The sequence below is a fragment of the Homo sapiens genome, chromosome 12 (genome assembly GCF_000001405.40).
Source record: "Homo sapiens chromosome 12, GRCh38.p14 Primary Assembly".
NCBI lineage: Eukaryota > Metazoa > Chordata > Mammalia > Primates > Hominidae > Homo > Homo sapiens.
The window spans coordinates 58,592,188-58,612,482 of NC_000012.12; the positions used below are offsets into that span (position 1 = coordinate 58,592,188).

The 20,295-nt window shown below is 38.2% G+C and overlaps 2 long non-coding RNA genes across 2 annotated transcripts in view; one reads left to right on the plus strand and one right to left on the minus strand.

Annotated features, from left to right (window-relative positions):
• The window catches only part of LINC02388 (long intergenic non-protein coding RNA 2388), a 215,758-nt gene that overhangs the window by 26,229 nt on the left and 169,234 nt on the right, over positions 1–20,295 (minus strand). The window contains exon 3 of the long non-coding RNA NR_120452.1: positions 16,691–17,362. This is a non-coding gene — a long non-coding RNA (long intergenic non-protein coding RNA 2388). The remainder of the gene's footprint in view (positions 1–16,690; positions 17,363–20,295) is intronic.
• Positions 1–20,295, plus strand: part of LOC100506869 (uncharacterized) — a 220,968-nt gene that overhangs the window by 486 nt on the left and 200,187 nt on the right. The gene's annotated exons all lie outside the window — the stretch shown is intronic.

Below are 20,295 nucleotides of genomic sequence, written 5' to 3' on the forward strand. Positions count from 1 at the left end.
CCTGTCTGAGCCCAGGTTTTCTAACAGGACTAGCTTTAGTGACCACTCACAGCTCTAGAATTGTAGGATTTTCATTTCTAGGTATCTGAGCATCACTGATATCCTTTGTCTTTTATATCAATTATGAGCCTTTGTTTGGGTGCGGTCATTTCTTACAGCTCCTAACAATCTATTTTGTTGCCACAATACAACACTGAAAAAAACACACAATTCGTGGCAGATTTGGAGTATTTATTTAACATAAAGCTATTTTTGATCTATTACCTGGTTTAGGCCTATAAGTTTTACTTGGCCAAAATGGATTTAGAGGATTGTGGGGAAGTATTTTTCCTACTGTTTGCACAGGTATGCTTTGATATCACCCATCCATCTCCCCTGAACTGACATCTCCTTTGTTCAAAATTTGTACCACTTGTCGTCTCATATACTAAACCCCCAAACAAAAGCAAGGCTAGAAGGCATGCTCGAGCAAAGGACTTGAGACTGTGTGAGCAGGAATGTGAGGAACAGCATGCCAAGGACAAATTCAAATGTAAGCATTTGGAAGATTAGCATCCAGGGAAACTTTTTTTATATTCATTTTTGACTAGTCAAAATAAATCTTTAAAATCACATTAGGGCTAGGAATTCTTTTTTTTTTCTTTAGAGAAAAGCAGAGAGAAAAATCAAAAGCATACTGAGGCAGATCTGTAGCTACAGTGACAGTTATGAATAGGTAGCATGCAATATCCTTCAGGGTGGATTCCAGGAACTGAGCACAGTTCAGGAAGATCCTGAGCTTGCAATTAATTATTTAGAAAATGCTCTCCTTGCTGCTAAGTAAGCACATGATGTTCTCTGGCACAGAAATTAGTTTGAATTCTCAGCCCTGTAGCAAAGCTGTCAGGCAGGGCTGCTTGCGTGCGTTTCTAACTGCAAAATGATGAGGCTCCTAAAAGAGGTGCCCCTGGCTTTGCAGCATGACCCTGCTCAAGGATTTTAGCCTAAGGAACAGGAAGATGCTTGGGTCTTTGAGGTTGATGGGAAAAGTGGTGATTAAAAAGAGCTGATTAGCAACCTTAAGTGAGGGGAAGATGGGGGATGTAAACATGACACATTAACCAAAATTTCTCGCTTTTACTCAAAGGAGAGTCATTATAAGGATGAACAGTGTTGGGCATTTGAGGACCAGGTTGCAAAAGGAAGCCAGGCCTGCCGGGAGGTGATGATGGGGGCTTGCTGAGCCTGGTGGCCATTTGGGCAATAACAGAAATGATAGGACAGTTATGTCCTATTATATGCTCAGTCAGTACAATACAGTAGCAGGTCGAGAGCCATGTAGTTACATGATTAAATGTCTCTACCATATGTACACTGAGAACTATGGTGAAAGATAATGTGATGGAACAATGAAAAAAGAATAAAGTGTGAATTGGCCATAGAATAGAAAGATGTTATTTTATTTTGGAGGAACCAAGGGCAACTTCCTGAAAAATGTAACATCTGAAGGAAGAGGAGAGGTGTTTAGAAGGAAGAGGAGAGGTGTTTAGAAGGCAGAGGAGGAAGCAATGCATTCCAGGTGAGGGCACCATAGGGACAAAAGCATCAAGGAATCAAGTTTCAGTAATGAGTGATTTGGTGCAGCTAACACACAGCACATGAGAAGGGAAAGATAGACAGTTAAGTGGGAGAGGGTATCTGGTGCCAGATTGTTCTAGGTGCAAAGATTTTGAACTTTATTCTGGAATCAATGAAAGGCTGTCAGTGCCTCTGAACAGGAAAGGAACACAATTGGAACTGTGGAAATGTGGAAGATGAACTGGAGGGCAGGAAGGGGCTGAAAACTGCTATGAGGCAACAGTATAAGTCAGAGTTAATGTTGACCACAACAGAGGGATTAAAAGAAAGGGTGGGGACGAGGAACATCATGGAGCGAAATGACATTGAAGTTGATGGCTCATGGCATATCTGGAGTAAAGAATAGGAATGAGTAACTGAATGGGTGGAGGTTTCACATCTGCGATGCCAGGAGCAGAGGAGAGAACACACAGGATTAGCAGGGGGATAGTAGAAGATAAAAGACCCGAGGATAAGAAATTCTATTTTGAGCTGGGCGTGGTGACTCACGCCTGTAATCCCAGCACTTTGGGAGGCTGAGGCGGGCAAATAATGAGGTCAGGAGTTTGAGATCAGCCTGGCTAACATGGTGAAACCCCATCTCTACTAAAAATACAAAAAATTAGCTGGGCGTAGTGGTGGGCACCTATAATCCCAGCTACTTGGGAGGCTGAGGCAGGAGAATCGCTTGAACCTGAGAGGTGGAGGTTGTAGTGAGCCCAGATCATGCCACTGCACTCCAGCCCAGGCGACAGAGTGAGACTCCGTCTCAAACAAACAAAAAAAACAAAAAAGAAAAATTTTATTTTGGACATGCTATGCATGTGAGAACAGTGAAATGTGTCCATGAAAATGTCCTGCTTGTATACATGCAGGTCTAGAATCCCAGAGGTCTTATCTGGAGAAAAAACTAGAGGCATCCCTCATAAAGGTGATAAATGAAGTCATGATTATAAACAACAATGAGGACAACAACAGGTTAACCAAGGTGGAAGGGGCAAGAAATGAGGATTACAATCTGGGGCCTGACAATATGCAGGGAGCAAAGGGAGAGGAAGGTATCCATGCAGAAAGACAGGGACAAAGGGATAGGAGAAGACAAAGAACAAAAAATCTAACCTTCTGAAAGCCAAGGAAGGAGAGAGTTAAGAACTGATGATTTTTAGGACAAATACCTAATGCATGCAGGGCTTAAAACCTAGATGACAGTGTAGCAAACCACCATGGCACATGTATACCTATGTAACAAACCTGCACATTCTGCACATGTATCCCGGAACTTAAAATAAAAATAAAAATAAAAAATAAAAAACTGATGCTTTTAACCAAGGCTCAAGGGCTGCCAAGAAGCCAAGGAGGGTAAGACAGAATTCAGGTACTAAAGTGACAAGAGTGATCTTCAGAAGAGTGGTGTCCACTATGGGAACAAGAGGTTGAAGAGCAGGTAAGCATTTAGAAGTGGAAACAGCAAGGATAGTGATTGAAGTATACAGCTATCTTCTTTATATTACAGGAAAAATAGATTTGGAACTGAGAATTTTGAGCATTGAAATGTCATGGTGATAGACAAGGACTTGAAAAAGGCAAACATTTATTTAAAATGGTATATTTGTATTTTTATTTCAAACCTTGAAATCCACTTACTCACATATCCTAAAGTAAATGAAACCAATAAACAAAGCATAAATTTAATTAAGCATGTGTTAGAGGTTCATTCAGCACCTGTGTAAAGCCAAATATACCTACAGAGGTGCAGCATTTCCGTGGCTAATGTGTTGAATTTTACGGGTTACCATTAGTAATTAGAGTCATATGTGGAGTTAATATTCTGTAAATATTACTTGAGTGCTTACTACACTCCTGGATGATGGTGGGGACGAGTCCTCTCTGTCTTTGTAGATCTCACATGGTTTCCATAGCTACAGTGTGACTCCCATAACTTTAAATACTCAGAACCCCTCTCCACACGTGATACTGTACTGCAGAGTTGAGATGTGAAGGAACAGTTGCCCGCCTTGAAGCCTGAGGCCCTGAGTTCAGGTTCTAGCTCTAATATTGCCAGACTGAGAGTGCCGCTGACTTGGGATTAGTCACCCAGTCTCAACTCTTTCTTTCTCTTTTTCTATGAATGGAGGTTTTAGTGCCTGCCAGGCACCTTTTCAAGGCCTTCTACAAAATTTCACTTATCCTTCCCAATAAACCTAGAGAGGAAGGCAAATAATCCTGGTTTCACAGATGAAAATCTAAGTTAATTGGAAGTAAATCCAAATAAGATATATGGGATTATCTCTCCTCGGCTGCCTATCTAAAAATACAGACTTCTTATGACAATATTTTTCTACATAGCATTTATCAATGTACACTTTACTTTATGGTTTATAGTCCATCTTCCCACTGGATGTAAGTTTCCTTAGGACATGAACTTTTGCTGTTTCGTATACACTGTATTCTCTTTCTCTTGGACTTAAACACAGACCTGGACAATTGAAACGATAGCAATTTAAGCAATTTAAATGAATGAGGGTCCCACTGTAAACTGAATTCAGATCTGACATTGAAATATTTTGAGTTAAATTTGAGAGTTTGAGAGTCTGTCTTCTCTCCAGAGTAAGTAGGTCTCTTGGGTACCAGCGAGTACACTAAGGCGAAAGTGTATCTATCAAATGCCCCCTTCCCCCATTACAGGTATTCATGAAGCTTCGCAAAGCTCTCTCATATTACTCCCAAGGATCAGCCAAATCCTTGGAGGCTCTGGGTCAATGTGTCATTCTGCCAACTTGAGGCAGTAAGACCATCAGTCGTGGGAAGGGCATTTTCTGTGAGTCAGCATCACACCTTCCTGAATACTGAGCTTTCAATATTGACATGTGGTCCCAAAAGAGGCCTTTAGGAAAAGTCGATTTGATGACACCACTGAAATGCTGGTAACTAGAGGCCTGAGGTGAAAATGCAAATTTATTAATATAGGCTGCAAAGTCCACTAAACAATCTCAAGTTAGAAGAGCTGAAATCTACTTAATTGCTTATTATCTCAAGTCTTGAGTACAACCTTCACTTAACCTGCTGCTGCTTCCTGCTACTGAGCTCCTGTCTCCGTTCACAGCCAAACTCTTGGAGAATTGACCTGCATGTGTTCCCTCTCTTTCTTTAGAACATTGTTTCTTGTCCTCATTTAATTTGACTTCTGCTGCTATTATTTTTTTTGCAAACTTCATCTTATAAAATGCTGCTTTTAGCTTAGGCCAGTGCTTTGCACACAGTAGGGGTTTAATATTTTAATTCACCAGAGGTTTTTGGTGGATTTGTTATATCATTGGAAGCCACTCCTGACCTCCTAGTCAATACATTTTTTCTTATCCTGCTCTCTGAGAGATGCTATTACCTCTCCTCACTTTCTTGAAACCATCTTTGCCTCTATGGGATACAACACAGACCACTAGATTTTGAAGCCAAATGACATTAATTGAATCCTTGACCCACCATGTAAAATCTGTGTGTGACTTTGATGAACTTATAATCTTTATATTTTCATTTCTTTCCTCTATAAATCTGCTTCTACCTGAAAAAATTTGGGTGAGGACAAAATGAAGTCATGTTAAAGTACTTTGCAAATGAATTAGTGCGTAATATATTCACGTATAAATGTGTACACATACATTTTAGGTCTAATTGACCGTTTCTCACTGTGCCTTCCTTACTATGTTGTGGGGAAGATAAAATTAATGATATATGTATGTGAAAGTACCTAGCACAGCAGACGCCCGCATGATGAGACCAGTTATACATTCATGGGGAAGAATGCTTGAAGCAGGGGGCACAGTTAGTGCAGCAATACTATGGAAGGAAAGAGTCTGAATGGAGGAGGAGGAACAAAAGGATGGACAAATATGGTTTGTGTATAGGAAACAAGGGCAAGAGTGACACAAGTTGATGCTAGACATTCCCTCTTCTTGATATATATCCAAAGGAAATGAAATCAGCATCTCATAAAGATATCCACAGTCCTGTGCTCATTTTAGCATTATTCACGATAGCCAAATTATGAAAGCAAGATTCATTGACAGATGAATGGATAAAGCATATGTGGTATATATATACACACACATATATATATATATATATATACACACATATATATATATATACACACATATATATATATATATACACATATATATATATATATACACACACACACACACACACATATATATATATATATACACACAATGGAATATTATTCAACCCTGAAAAAAGGAGATCCTGGCATTTGCTACAACAGAGACACTTATTTCATATTAAGTGAAATAAGCCAGACAGAAAAATATTATATGATCTCACCTATATGTACAATATATTTTGGGGAAGAGCTCAAATACACAGAGATAGAGAATAAAACAGTGGTTGCCATTCACAGAGATAGAGAATAAAACAGTTGTGGGGAGAAGAAATGGGGAGTTTTAGGTAAAAGGATACAAAATAGCAGACATGTAGGATGAACAGGCCTAGAGATCTGATGTACAATAGGAGAACTAAACTTAATAAAATTGTATTGCATTAGGAATTTTGTTAAATAATTAGATTTTAGCTGGTCTTGTCACACAAAAAAGTAACTACGTGAGATGATAGATGTGTCAATCTGCTATGGTAACCATTTTACTATTGATACATAGCCCATAACACCATGCTGTAAACTTGGAATATACACAATAAAATTTATTTTTTTTAAAAAGATGACACTGGAAAGATAAGTAGAGATTGGATCACATGGAAACTGGTAGAAATGTGGATTTTATTCTAAGTTCAATGGGGTGCCATATGAAGGTTTTGTGCAAGGGTGGGAGTGATCCCACTGAAGTTTTAAAAATATCACAAGGATACTGTGTAGGTGGTAGTGGGACCGGCATGGAAGGAGAGAGATAAATTAGGAGATGGTGCAGCCATCCAGAGACTAACTGGTAGGGGATTCTCTTAGGGAGGCAAGCACGAAGATGGAAACAGTGGGCAAATAGGAATATGTTGTTGAGAAAGAGTCAACAATCAAATATAAATGCTTTTACTGACATCTAATACTCTTTATAATTTGGCTATAAACCCTCTATCCTAACTTGAACTTACATGTCACTGCTCCATGTCTCTTGTGCCAGCCAAGGTAGGGTACAGTTATGTCCCTTCGTGCACTCCTGCCTTCATTCCTTGCTCATGTCTCCTCATTAAAGTATCCTCTCTCTATAAGTGGCCTCCAAACTTTTTGACTGTGGACATGCCTCTATAATATGTGCATGTTTATTATAAGAATTGTATATATGTATATTATTAGTTCATATGGTAAATATTAGTAAAGTCTAATTTTTAAAAAAACGTAAAAAGTGACTATAAATGAAAATGCTAATTGTTTCTTTCTCCACCCAGTAGATGTCTTGTGGTCCACATCTCCCTTGAAGTAAGCACATGTCACTTGGTGAACACAGGTTATTGATTTTTACCAATTCTTTAAAATTTAAATCAGGCTACTTTTCCTATGAAATTGTTCTTAACATCCTTTGGCTTTGAAGTCCTATAGACACTTGAATTCTACCATCAAAATTAAATTTAGCATTTTTCTTTCACCATTTGTAGTACCTCACTCTGTCATGTCCTTTCTTCATCTAATCTATAGGCTCCTTGAGGGCACTGATTAATATGTTAAATTTGTTTTCATCCACATTAACATTTGTTGACTGAAAAAAGAATCTAATAATTTTTTTTTTAAATCCTGTTTAGTCATGGACATCAAGGGTTATTCATCAATTCAACAAAAATTATCCACTGAGTGTCTACCATGGATTAAGTGTTCAAGTTGTTGGGTATCAAGAAATGACAGGACTAGCAAGGTCTCTTCTCTCATAGAGCTGACATTCAAGAGGGAGTGTGACAGGAAATAAATAAATGATGGACCAAGATAATTCAAAATGATGAATGACAAGTTTTATGGAGAAAACCATGTAGTAGGGATGTTGGTTGGGATGAATGTGATGAATGAAGGCCTCTAAGGAAATGCCATTGGATCTCTCTATCCTATATGATGGGAAGACACAAAGAATTAAGCTTATCAGAGTTGAGTTATAAATACTTGCCATTCCAGGCATATGGTTTTCTTATTCCCATTGATTTAGCTCTATTCTAACGTCCGTGGTCATTAAGATTATTTAAAATTTCTTTGTCATAGTGACCAATTCTCATTTTTAAAGGCTAGCCACTAACTTACAAGTCAGTAGAGTAAGTCAGTAAGGCTAATGTTAGCTGCCATAACAAACAAGTCTCCAGATATCAGTGGCTTCACACAATAGAAATTGATTTCTTATTTATGTGACAGTTCAATATGGGTGTTCTTTGTTGGCAGGTTACCTTTTGAGATCCAGATTCTTCCATCTTCTGGTCTCATTTTCATCTAGGATCTGAGAGTTCTCCACATTTAGCCAGAGGATACAAAAAGAAAGGAAAATATTACATGTGGGAGGATTTTGTGGACCTGTAATGAAAGTGGTGATTTGCATATTCCAGAACAAGGAGGCTATGTCTCATTGCAAAGGTGGCTGGGATATGTAATTTCACTGTGTCACTGGAACAAACAAAAGCGGGTGTTATGAGACTGGCCAGTCTCTTGTCACAGTTTGCTGCTCTAGAATTCTTTTTTCTACAGTTTGAAATGTATTTAAATTTGATGACCACCATAAAGTAAGAAAAAGGTGAGTGTGATAAAATGCACCTTTATCTGAGAGAATTCAAATTCATCTCCAGTGATTTTTTTCACTGATTTTAACTTCCTGCAGTTAATTTCATGCATCCCACTTATCCCCACAAACTGTCCAATTTTCATAAATCTAAACAATAAATCAAGATTCAATCCTGAATTACAAAGGTAGTACTTCAATGCAAAAGTTCTTGTCACAAGTAAAAATTTACAGCATATACTTTCTAGCTCATTAAACTCAATGCCAGAAAATGACCCAAAGCAGCATTTCTTCTTCAGATAATGAAGTGGTTGGCTACACTAGACACTAGAATTACTAACAATAAAATGTGTAAATTTATTCGATCATAAGCTCCTTGTCTTATGGTAATGCTATAATTATCTTTGTTGTTCTCTTTATTTGTTACATGTAGTTTTTAAGAATCAGGCTTAATTATTTTAACTTGTTAATGCACATAATTCTTTACTAATCACTTATTTTAATTGCGGGAGTAAGTGGTTAGTAGCTCAGGAGCTTAGATGCTTTGACCTTTTATTTACTCTGTCCTTTGGGCTAATTGTCATCATGGCTCTTGAATATTAGGCGCTATTTATAATTCTTGGAAGCTCTGAAAATACATTATGATGCATTCAATTTACCATTCTCCCTGAGTTGAAGGAAAGAGTCAATTATTGTATTAATTTTATTAGGGTTAAATAGGACACCAAGGAAGTTTAGGCAAAAGTATGTACAAACTTGTTCAGTTCTTACTTATGGGGCTGGGTATGACACAGCCTGAAAAGGGCAGCCAGAAATGGGTTCTGAGGATTGAACTCAGCCAGAGGCAGATTTGAATGAGGTCACCTAAATCAGGGAGCTGGGGCAGCCAGAGAAATGAGGCTAGGCATGAAATTCAAAGAACAGGAGAAATGATCAATAGTGTAGAAGGCACAAGAAAGGGAGTCCATCTCTTGTAAAGACAGGTTGAGGAGAGTATTCAAGAGTTAATTCTTCCTTTACTTCTCACCTTCTCTCCTTCCCAACCTCTCTCCACAGCCTTGAGTGCCCCATAAAATGCTGCTTTCTTTATAATTCTGAGCCAGGGAGCTCTTGTCCATTGCCTTATTTCACTTCTTTGCCTGGAATCCATGTCCATGCTGGATTTCCACATGCATCAATTGCTCCATTTGTTTAAAGAATTGTGTCTGTGTCTTTAAACTGCAGCAAATGCTGACTCAGCCACTTTGAGGATGGAGACTGGAATAGCTGGTACCATAGGCCTTTTAATAATCAGCACACTGACCATCTTTGGCTTATTCCTACTCGAAGTTTTGAGTCTCTGATGCACAATGAGAGTGCAGTGGTACACAGTAGATATTTCCTTTCCCATTGTTTTCTGTCAAGTTCAAAATAGGACTACTTTTTATTACTTATGCACACTTAATTTAATAAAATGTCTGTTTATAGCCATGCTACCTAATTTAATCAATTATTCATTATATAAATCTCTATTTTGTATCTTCTATCTGTCAGGCCCAAGTATATAAAAATGAAATAATACAAAGACCTTGGCATCAAGGGGCTTAAAATCTAGTGGGGAAAGACAAGCAGTTAAATAAACAAGTAAAACATAATTCAACAACTCTGATTTAAGATATCTAACTAAGAAAACTCATTTGCTGTTTCTCCTTCCATGATTCTACTGAAATGATGGAAGAAATATAAAAATAAGGATAAATCTACAGTGGAATTAGAAATCCAAGAAGGGCAAAGCCACTGCATACTATTGGGCAGTAAAATAAAACAAGCTATTTGTGGCAACCCCTTAAAGGATACCATCAGCAGGCCAGATATGCTAAAGAATTTCTGAAAGACACAGAGCAGATGGACTCGGATTCCTAGAGGAGTGCCTGTGACTCACAGAAGTGAAAATGAGTACCATTCAAGAGTGAATTTTTATCTCAGCACTTTGGGAGGCCGAGGTGGGCGGATCATGAGGTCAGGAGATCAAGACCATCCTCGCTAACACAGTGAAACTCCGTCTCTACTAAAAATACAAATAATTAGCTGGGCGTGTTGGTGAGCACCTGTAGTTCCAGCTACTCCGGAGGCTGAGACAGGAGAATGGCATGAACCCGGGAGGCGGACTTGCAGTGAGCTGAGACGCACCACTGCACTCCAGCCTGGGCGACAGAGTGAGACCCCGTCTCAAAAAAAAAAAAAAAAAAAAAAAAAAAAAAAAAAAAAAAGTGAATTTTTTTAGCTGAATTCAGAAAGAAGTCCCAGATCAGAGACTCAAAACTTCAAGTAGGAATAAGCCAAAGATGGTCAGTGTGCTGATTATTAAAAGGCCTATAGTACCAGCCACTCCAGTCTCCATTGTTAAAGTGGCTGAGTCAGCATTTGCTGCAGTTTAAAAACATAGACACAATTCTTTAAACAAATGGAGCAATCGATGCATGTGGAAATCCAGCAAGGGCATTGATTCCAGGAAAATAAGTAGAATAAGGGAATGGGCAAAAGCTCCCTGGCTCAGAAGGCAAACTTTCCTTTTGCTCACATTCTCTCATCCCTGGCAGGGAGGGCTTCTGTGAGGAGTGCCTCCTTCTGAGCTGAGGGAGAAAATGGCTGCCCCTTTGGTTGAAATATGGAGGATGTGTCTGAGGTACCTAATGTCTGTCTAACATCAGTAAAAGTAGGAGAGAAGAGAGAGGATAAGTGAGCAAGGAAAAGAAATAGAAGTAAAATCTTCCAATATTAATAAATAGTTGACAGAGAAGGAAGAAAATTAAAACAAAGAAGAAGATACACACCTAAGGACATTTTTGTCAAGCTTCTGAGCAAAAGTAAACAGAAAATCCTATAAAAGAGAGAAAAAGTTACAAAAAGCAAGAATCAGACTATGGCAGAATGCAAAAAGTTAATGAGACAATATAAAATTCTGAAGGAAAATGGTTTCAGACTGAGAGCTCTATATTCCTACTAACTTGTCATTCAAGTGCTAAGGCAAAATGAGAGTCCTCAAAATTTATCACTGATTTCTTTTTTGAAAAATTTACGGGGCCAGTCGTGGTGGCTCACGCCCGTAATCCCAGCACTTTGGGAGTCCGAGGCGGGCGGATCATGAGGTCAGGAGATAGAGACCATCCTGGCTAACAAGGTGAAACCCCGTTTCTACTAAAAATACAAAAAATTAGCCGAGCGAGGTGGCGGGCGCCTGTAGTCCCAGCTAATCGGGAGGCTGAGGCAGGAGAATGGTGTGAACCCGGGAAGTGGAGTTTGCAGTGAGCTGAGATTGTGCCACTGCACTCCAGCCTGGGCAACAGAGCGAGACTCCATCTCAAAAAAAAAAAGAAAAAAAAAAAGAAAAAAGAAAAATTTACTTAATGATCTATTACAGAAAAATGAAAAACCAACAGAAAAATGGAATAGCCTGGGGTACAAGGGAAAAGTGGTGAATAAATAAGCCAGCAAAGCTTATAGTTAATTCTAAATAATTAAAAACGTGATCTGTAAGTTAATACATAGATTAAATTCCACTTTATTACACCAAAACCTGAAAGTAGGAAAATTTTAAACAAAGGTGGATATTGTTAAATTTCTGACCTACATGCAAAAATACCTTTCAAGTAAATTTATAACAATTTTGACAATAATATTGGTAGGATTGAAATTAGAGGTACAACTCTTATTTTACTAGAGTGGAAAGTAAGGCAATAGTGAGGAATGGAAGAAGAAGGAGAAAGAGTAGCAACAACATGGGGAACAGAAAACAAATGCTGATGGCGGAATCAGACTGAACATCTTCAGGCAAAATATTAAAGAATGGGTTAAATTTCTCTATTAAAATATAAATGTCATCAGATAGAGCTTAAAAAAAGGTAAGACCCAAAATGACAAAGAAAATGAAAACAGGATATAAAGCAAATGCTCACGGAAAATTTAATTGACATTAATATCAAATTAGATAGAATTTAAGGTAAAAAGTATTAAGACAATGTACTCTACTTCTAATAATATAAGGTCGAATTCTTGAAGAAGATATAACCATAATGAACCTTTATGTTCATAAAAAATAGAAATGAAACATGCAAAGCAAACCTGTTATAAATAAAAGGAAAGTAAATAAAGCTGGTAGATGTATAACATATATTGCTCATAAATAATCGAGCAAATAAAACCAAAGTAAACATAAGGATTTCTAAGATAGATATATATAAAATTTTGTGGACAAAAAATGAAAACATATTTTTTAGCCCAAGGCCTCATGGAATCAATTATGTACTACCTCACAAAGAAATCACAACCAACCCAAATGCACATCAATGATAGACTGGATAAAGAAAATGTGGCACATATACACCAGGGAATACTATGCAGCCATATAAAGGGATGAGTTCATGTCCTTTTCAGGGACATGGATGAAGCTGGAAACCATCATTCTCAGCAAAGTAACAAGAGAACAGAAAACCAAACACCTCATGTTCTCACTCATAAGTGGGAGTTGAACAATAAGAACACATGGACACAGGGAGGGGTACATAACACACCAGGGCCTGTCGGGGGGTGGGGGGGGGTAGGGGAGGGATAGCATTAGGAGAAATACCTAGTGTAGATGACGGGTTGATGGGTGCAACAAACCACCACGGCACTGTATACCTATGTAACAAACCTGCATGTTCTGCACATGTATCCCAGAACTTAAAGTATTATAAAAAATAAAGAAATCACAATAATTTCTAAAAGTAGATTTAAATGGGACACACTTTCCAAAAATAAAAAAACTGGTATTAAAATAATGATGTATACAAAGCCTATGTATTTTAAAACTATAAAGTTCTTATGGATATCTCTATGGATCAAGAGAAAATTAAAACTATAACTATAAAGAATTCTGAAATAAATGAAATGCTAACATCACATATCAAAATGAGTGAGATACGGAGAAAGAAAAGTTTAGGCTTAAATATAATGGTATTTATTGACAAAAAATAACTAATAATGAACTCAAGAAGCTTACAAATAAGCAAACAATAAACAAAGAACATATGAGAAAAAAATTTTTATATGTAAGCAGAGAGAAATGGAATGGAGATCAAAACAAATAGCAGAATTCAAACAAAGCAAGGGTAAAGAGAAGGGATGTAACAGCAGATTCAGATGGGATTAAAAAGTTCTAAGACTATCATGAAATGTGGAGGTCAGATATTTCAACTCGACAAAACAATGTGTGGTTTCCCTATCCTATCCCTCCCTCCCTCCCTCCTTTCCTTCCTTCCTTCTTTCCTTCCTTCCTTTATTCCTTTTCTTCTTTCCTCCCTTCCTTCTTTCATTTCTCCTTTACTTCTTTGTTCCTTTCTTTCTGCCTTCCTTCCTTTTTTTCTTCTCTCCCTCCCTCCTTCTCACCCATCCATTCATCCATCCATCTCAATGAAAATGTCAAAAATATGAAGTGTTTTTGTTTGGGTGGACATATTGCAGGATATTTAAATTTTTTGTTTACTTTTCTGTGCTTTCTTTTCTCTCTTTTTTTCCTAACAACTCTTACTACTTCTGCTGCTACTTCTATTACTAGTCAACTACCAATTATGAAATATATTTTGAGCCAGGTTCTGGTCTATACCCTTTATGTATATCTCAAATGATCTTTCTGTGACCCTGTAAGGAAAATAAAAAAGTATATTATTGATAAAGCTAATTTAGTAATAATTCATAATTTAACCCCCTATTTAACACCAAGATCCTTTCTATAGTACTCTTCTTGCTGCCTCATCTCTTAAAAGATGGAGAATGCAATGATTCATCAAGCAACTCATTCCTTGGGTGGAATTTTTAAGATAATTTTTGTTATATTGTGCTTCCTTTCAGTTTGTTCCTGATTCTGTCCTGTAGTAAATCATAGAACATATCAACTTTGTGTTCACCTGTGCCATTTCATGGTGATGAAGATCATGTTGATACTGATTTTCAGATTTATGAGAGAGTTTGGTGAAATGAACCTAACATGGGACTAAAAGAAGAAGGTGTTTTAACATTCTGTAGAATAAAAGTAATGGATAGTTCAGGTGGAGCTATTTCACACAAAGAGAGTAATAAACATGAATGAGTTACCAGGGAAGGGAATTAGAGGAAAAGATTGTAAATGAGTTTGTGTGCCTTAGATTTATTTTTCAAGGAAAGTGTAGGATTACTGGGAGCAGAAAATGGTAAAATTGAGGTCAAATGAAAAGATGAGGCCAGCGATATGACACCTCTGCTTTGAATTTCAGGTCTGGGCCAAGCCTTGGATGGATTGAACCCCTCGGTAAACTTTAACAATATCCATGCATGTCAGAAGAAGAGATGAGGGAAATTAATAGGTTTAGGAAAACATCTGCATTTAATCCAGCCAGAAATGTCAATGGCAAATTGTATGAAGCGCAGCATTTATGAATAAAGAGTAAATACTCTTTTTTTTTTTTGTCAGGGGAGATATATTTTTATTTATTTATTTATTTTTACTTTTCCATGCAGGTAAATTTGCCAGTAAATGCTTTCCAGATAAAATATGCTGTTGGGACTCTTAATCTATAGCAATTTATAGCAGCACCAACTTTACATTTGAGAGTTTTAAAATCTATAGCATAGCTTTAAGGAGATATGAACAAAGTGCACTGCCATATTTTCTGTTCTTCCAAGAAAAATGTGCCCAAATCTGCCTTATCTGACATCATCCAGCTCAGTTAAATGTAACTCGCCCTTCCTGTTGCTCAGGCCAAAAACTTAGGAGTTAACACTGCTTTCTCTTTTCCTCTTACACTCTACCTTCAAGCTATGGGCAAAGGCTACTGGGTCTGCCTTTTAATCCATCCTAAATCTGACCTACGGGCATTACCTCAACTGCTTTCACGCTGGCCCAGGCCCCCAGCATCTCTAGCTTGTCACACTGCAGTAGCCTCCTCATTGGTCTGTGTCCATCGTCATTACTCTGTGGTGTATTCTCAACACAGCAGCCAGAGTGAGGTCAGAGCATGTCACTCCTCCACTCAGAACCCTGCAACGCCTTCTCTCTTTAAAGCTGGAATGTCCTTCCATGGCCTACCTGGCCATGATCGGCCCCTATCACTCTTGTTCATTCTACTCAGGCCACTGAACCTGGAGTTCCATGAACATGCCATGCCAGCTCAGGGCCTTTCCATTAAGCATCTCTTCTGCTGTAACAGCGCTCCTGCAGATAAATACATGGCTTGCTCCCCTTCTTCCTTCAAGTCATTACTTAAGTGTTACCTTCCAATCATCTTGTTTAAAATAACAACCTTAGCCCAGCCCTCCGTTCCTTAACATGCTTTATTTCTCTCCACAGTTCTTATCACCTTCTAATACATTATATAATTTGCTTTATTTATTTTTTATCTTCCCCAACTAAAATATAAGCTTTCCTCTTTGTTTGGTTTTGGTCTTTTTGTTTACAGCTTTATACTCTTAGAAGAAGTCCTGGCATGTAGTAGTTGGACCAAAAAATTCTTTTAGAATAAATGTTGTTTATGAAAAGCACATGTTCCAAAATGATCTGACATTTTGCAAAGCCAACAACATTGTTTCTTTGGTCTTGTTTGGCAGCAAAATGGGTGCATTATATGATAGGATGGTAAGATTTGTCACAGTGCTCAGGATCATAAATAATAGTTGTCTTTTCCATTAATGAAATCCTGGAGGAACATCACTGAGTATTAAAAAATAAAGCTTTAGACCGGGCGTGGTGGCTCATGCCTGTAATCCCAGCACTTTGGGAGGCTGAGGCAGGTAGATGATATGGTCAAGAGATTGAGACGATCCTGGCCAACATGGTGAAACCCCGTCTCTACTAAAAATACAGAAATTAGCTGGGCGTGGTGGTGTGTGCCTGTAGTCCCAGCTACTCGGGAGGCTGAGGCAGGAGAATCGCTTGAACCCGGGAGGCGGAGGTTGCAATGAGCCAAGATCGTGCCACTGCACTCCAGCCTGGTGACAGAGCAAGGCTCTGTCAAAAAAGAAAGAAAAAAGGAAGGAAGGAAGGAAGGAAGGAAGGAAGGAAGGAAGGAAGGAAGGAAGGAAGGAAGGAAGGAAGGAAGGGCTTTATTTGCTCACTGTCTAAAAAAATTCTAACTATTTCAAAAATATGTTTCTTGAAACCACAAAGTTAACTGAAATGAACTTTATATGACCTAGAAAAAGTCCATGATGGCTTATATTCTTCTGTAAATATTTTCTAAATTGCATTTTGATTTTCAAATAAGTATCACCATTTTAAATACGTGTGAACATGAAAAGTGAGGGTATGAGGAAACTGGCATGGGAAGAATTTCAAGAGATGTGAACCTTCAGTTCAAAGTAAAAAAAAAATTTCTTGGCTTTACTCTGACCTTTTCTGGACTACTCTTTGGCTAGTCTGAAAGTTGGGATTCCAAGCATTTAAGAGGTTTTTGTTCAGGGAACTCCATGGTCTGCAGATGTGGACTTAGGTTTCTCTTGACTGTGTCAGCTGGAGCAAGCAGGTAGAGTATCAGGCATTTATTTGGTGAGAATTCAGGAGGCTTCCTTTTTTCTAGAAAAATTCAGTGGAGCTTGCCTTTAGAAGAGCAGTTTCTGGAGTAATCTGTAAAATGCTTGCTTAATTTCTAATTCTTATTTAAAATGTACGACAGAAAATGGCTAAATAGTAGTAGAGTTTTCCTCATGTCCATTATTTTTATCTTTCTTCTCTCACTTCATAGGTCATACTCCTATTGATTTTGCAGGTCTTAGGGTAGTTGTCTCATCTTCCAGGAAGCATTTCTCATTTCTTCAAAATCTGGGTTAGGTACCCTTTCTCTGGGCTTCCATAGTATCATGTACTTCCCACATCAGAGCACATGAATTCCAATTGCTCTTTCGTTAAATCTGTTTCCCATGGGTGGATGTAAGTGGCAATGAAGGCAGGATCAGGTTGTTACTGCTTTTGGGGGATCCTTGGTACCTGGCACAACTGTCTAGCAGAGGTGCCACATACGTTCCATATGTTAATGAATGAATGTGTTTCTGTGGTTGTCAGCACACTGCGGTGGAATAAAAAAAAATGTTTGTCTGAATAATAGTTAGAAATGTGAAAAGAATACCCTAAAATATTAAGCAACAAACCATTTAAAATTCTTAAAGTGATATTTTAAAAAACAGCTTTTTCTGTAACTAGGACTGGAACAATACTTATACTTCCATTTCCTTGCCCCTAACATCAGAACCAATTCTAAAAGGAATATAAAGCAAAAGGAAAATCTTTGATATGTAAGCTTCTGGCTTTATATTATTAGGCACAAAATGCAATTAAATTTATTTGTTTTGGCATTCCTTGGTTATCACTGCTGCCTATTGCTGATAAGAAATACATATCAGATGTTGTTGAGAATTTGATTTCACCTACAGATATTCTTTCCTGAATGCCTTAAAGTTGTTCTCTTTTTTCCCCTTTTAGCTTTGTGCTTTTAGTTTTCAGTGACTTAAATTAACTTTTATGCAATAGCAGAAAAAATAGCAAGAATTCAAAGAAATGTGTCCCTGGTGTGCAATTGATTCTCAGCGTTTGTTATTAAATTTTTAAATAATTAAATACAAGAGAAAACATTAAAGCAACACTAAAAAGCCTAACCATATGTTGAAAATATAAATGGGAAGGAGGGACGGGCTTGGAGATGGCCCTAGAATTAAAACTTTTCTTCTTCATTAACCGTGCCCGGTAGTACCTGTGCTGATCATTGCCATGCATGGTCAGCATGCAGAATTGTGTGCTGCAGGTGGGCTGAGCTTTGAGGAGGAGAGACATTCTTTCTTGGAAAGAGTTTGCCAAGAGGAAAGGTCAGCAGGTTAGAAGACACAAGCAAAGACAGTTTGAGTGGAGATGTGATGAGGCGGTCATCAAACAGTCCTTCAAATAAGTTGTTTTGTTGGTTTTTTACAATCTGCAGTGTTCCCAAGGTGGCACATTTCATTCCTTTCCAGAGCAAAAGGCCCGCAAGTCAGCAGTGGTAAGAATACGGAGAGCTGCCATACATTACCTGTGAGTGTGGGCTGATTAAATACTAGTTTGAAAACTGAATGTGTAATACAAAGAAGAGGAGAGCAGGAGAAAGTCAAGGTCCTCGACACGAAAATCATGCAGAATGGCAGGGCATGGGCGTGTTGTGGGTTTGTGTTCCCCCAACATTTATGTGTTGAAATCCTAGGCCCCAGGACCGCAAAATGTGACCGTATTTGAAAATAGGCTTGTTGCAGATGTAATTAGTTAAGATGAGGTCATAGTGGAGTAGGGTGGGCTCCTTATTCAATATGACTGATGTGCTTATAACAAATAGGAAATTTGGACAAGATATACACACAGAAAGAACACAATATGAAGATGAAGGCAAAGATGCTTTTAAAATCCGAGGAATGCCATAGGTTACCAGCAAAACACTAGAAACTAGGTGAGAGGCATGAAACATACTCTGTCTCACAACCCCTAGAAGGAACAAACTTTGCTGACACTTGATCTTGGACTTCTAGCCTCCAGAACTGGGAGATGATAACTTTCTGTTGTTTAAGCCACCTAGTTTGTGGCACTGTGTTATGGCAGCCCTTCCAAACTAATACAGTGAGAAAGAGCACAGCTGTGAGGTCCTCATCATTCTTCACCACCTTTACAATTCAGGCAGCATTCCACCCCATACTGTGTTGCTGCGGGTCAGTCAGCAAATGTTCCTGTAATGTACTGCTGCATGCCAATTAACAAAGAGTCTCATGCCCCATTGCTGCCTATCAAGTAGCAAACGCATCTGCCACTCCTGCTAGAACTCAGCACAGCATCAGGCACTCAGAGAATGTGAAGGATATAAAAATGATTCTCGCTGTTGAGTAGTTTGTGGCAGAGACCAGATATCTCTGTGAAAAGAATACACTGAATAGTAAGAGTCCCAATGAGTGTGGCAGATATGTCATGCACATAGGGGACCCTTACAGAGGAGGGAACAACAGCAGCAACCAATTATTGAGAGTTATGTGTTTAATATAGTATCACCCGTGCATCATCTTCAACAAAAGCCCCATGAGCTAGATGGCATTATCATCCAGGGTTTACAGAAGAGGGAACTAAGCATTGAGCACATAAGGAACTTGCTCAAGGTCACACGGTTAATAAGTAATGGAGCCATGATTTGAACCCAGGTCTATCAAACTAAATTGGGTTAGGAAACATAACGTTTTGTGTTATATTATTGTGGCTACTATGGTCAATTGGTTCTCAACTGCACAATTACAGCAGCTTGGGTATTTTAACCCACAGCCTAAATGAATTACCTGGAGGTAATTTCATTAAATAACACCACTGCTTTATTTTTTCCTTGAAAAATTGTTACAAATTTTTTAAACAGAGAGATTTCAAATTAATTCTCAGTTAAATATTGTTTAACTTTTCCCACTCTTCATTTGAGTTTTGCTTACCCGTATGATTGTGAGTTCTTCCAAGGTCAGGAATTATGTCAAATATATTAGGAGCTGAGTTTGATCTCTTTGATTCCCCCTCTCCCCATTCCCCCCCCAAAATAAAACCTGCTCTTTACTTGAAATCATTCCTTACTCATTTTATTCTCTGCACTTTACTCCAGATACATCAGTAATCCTACTGGCTCTACCTTAAAAATATATTCAGAATATATAATATATTAAAAATAATTCAGAATCACTGCCTCCACCAACTCCCCAATTATAAATTCTTGCTGGCATTACTGCAAAATGCTTCTAACTGGTCTCTCTGCTTCTATCTCTTCCTTTCTATGATCAACCCTTCAGTTGAGGGTTTCTTTTTAAAAGAAATTCAGTCACGCCTGTAATCCCAGCACTTTGGGAGGCCAAGGCGGGCGGATCACGAGGTCAGGAGATTGAGACCATCCTGGCTAACACGGTGAAACCCCGTTTCTACTGAAAAATAGAAAAAATTAGCTGGGAATGGTGGCAGGCGCCT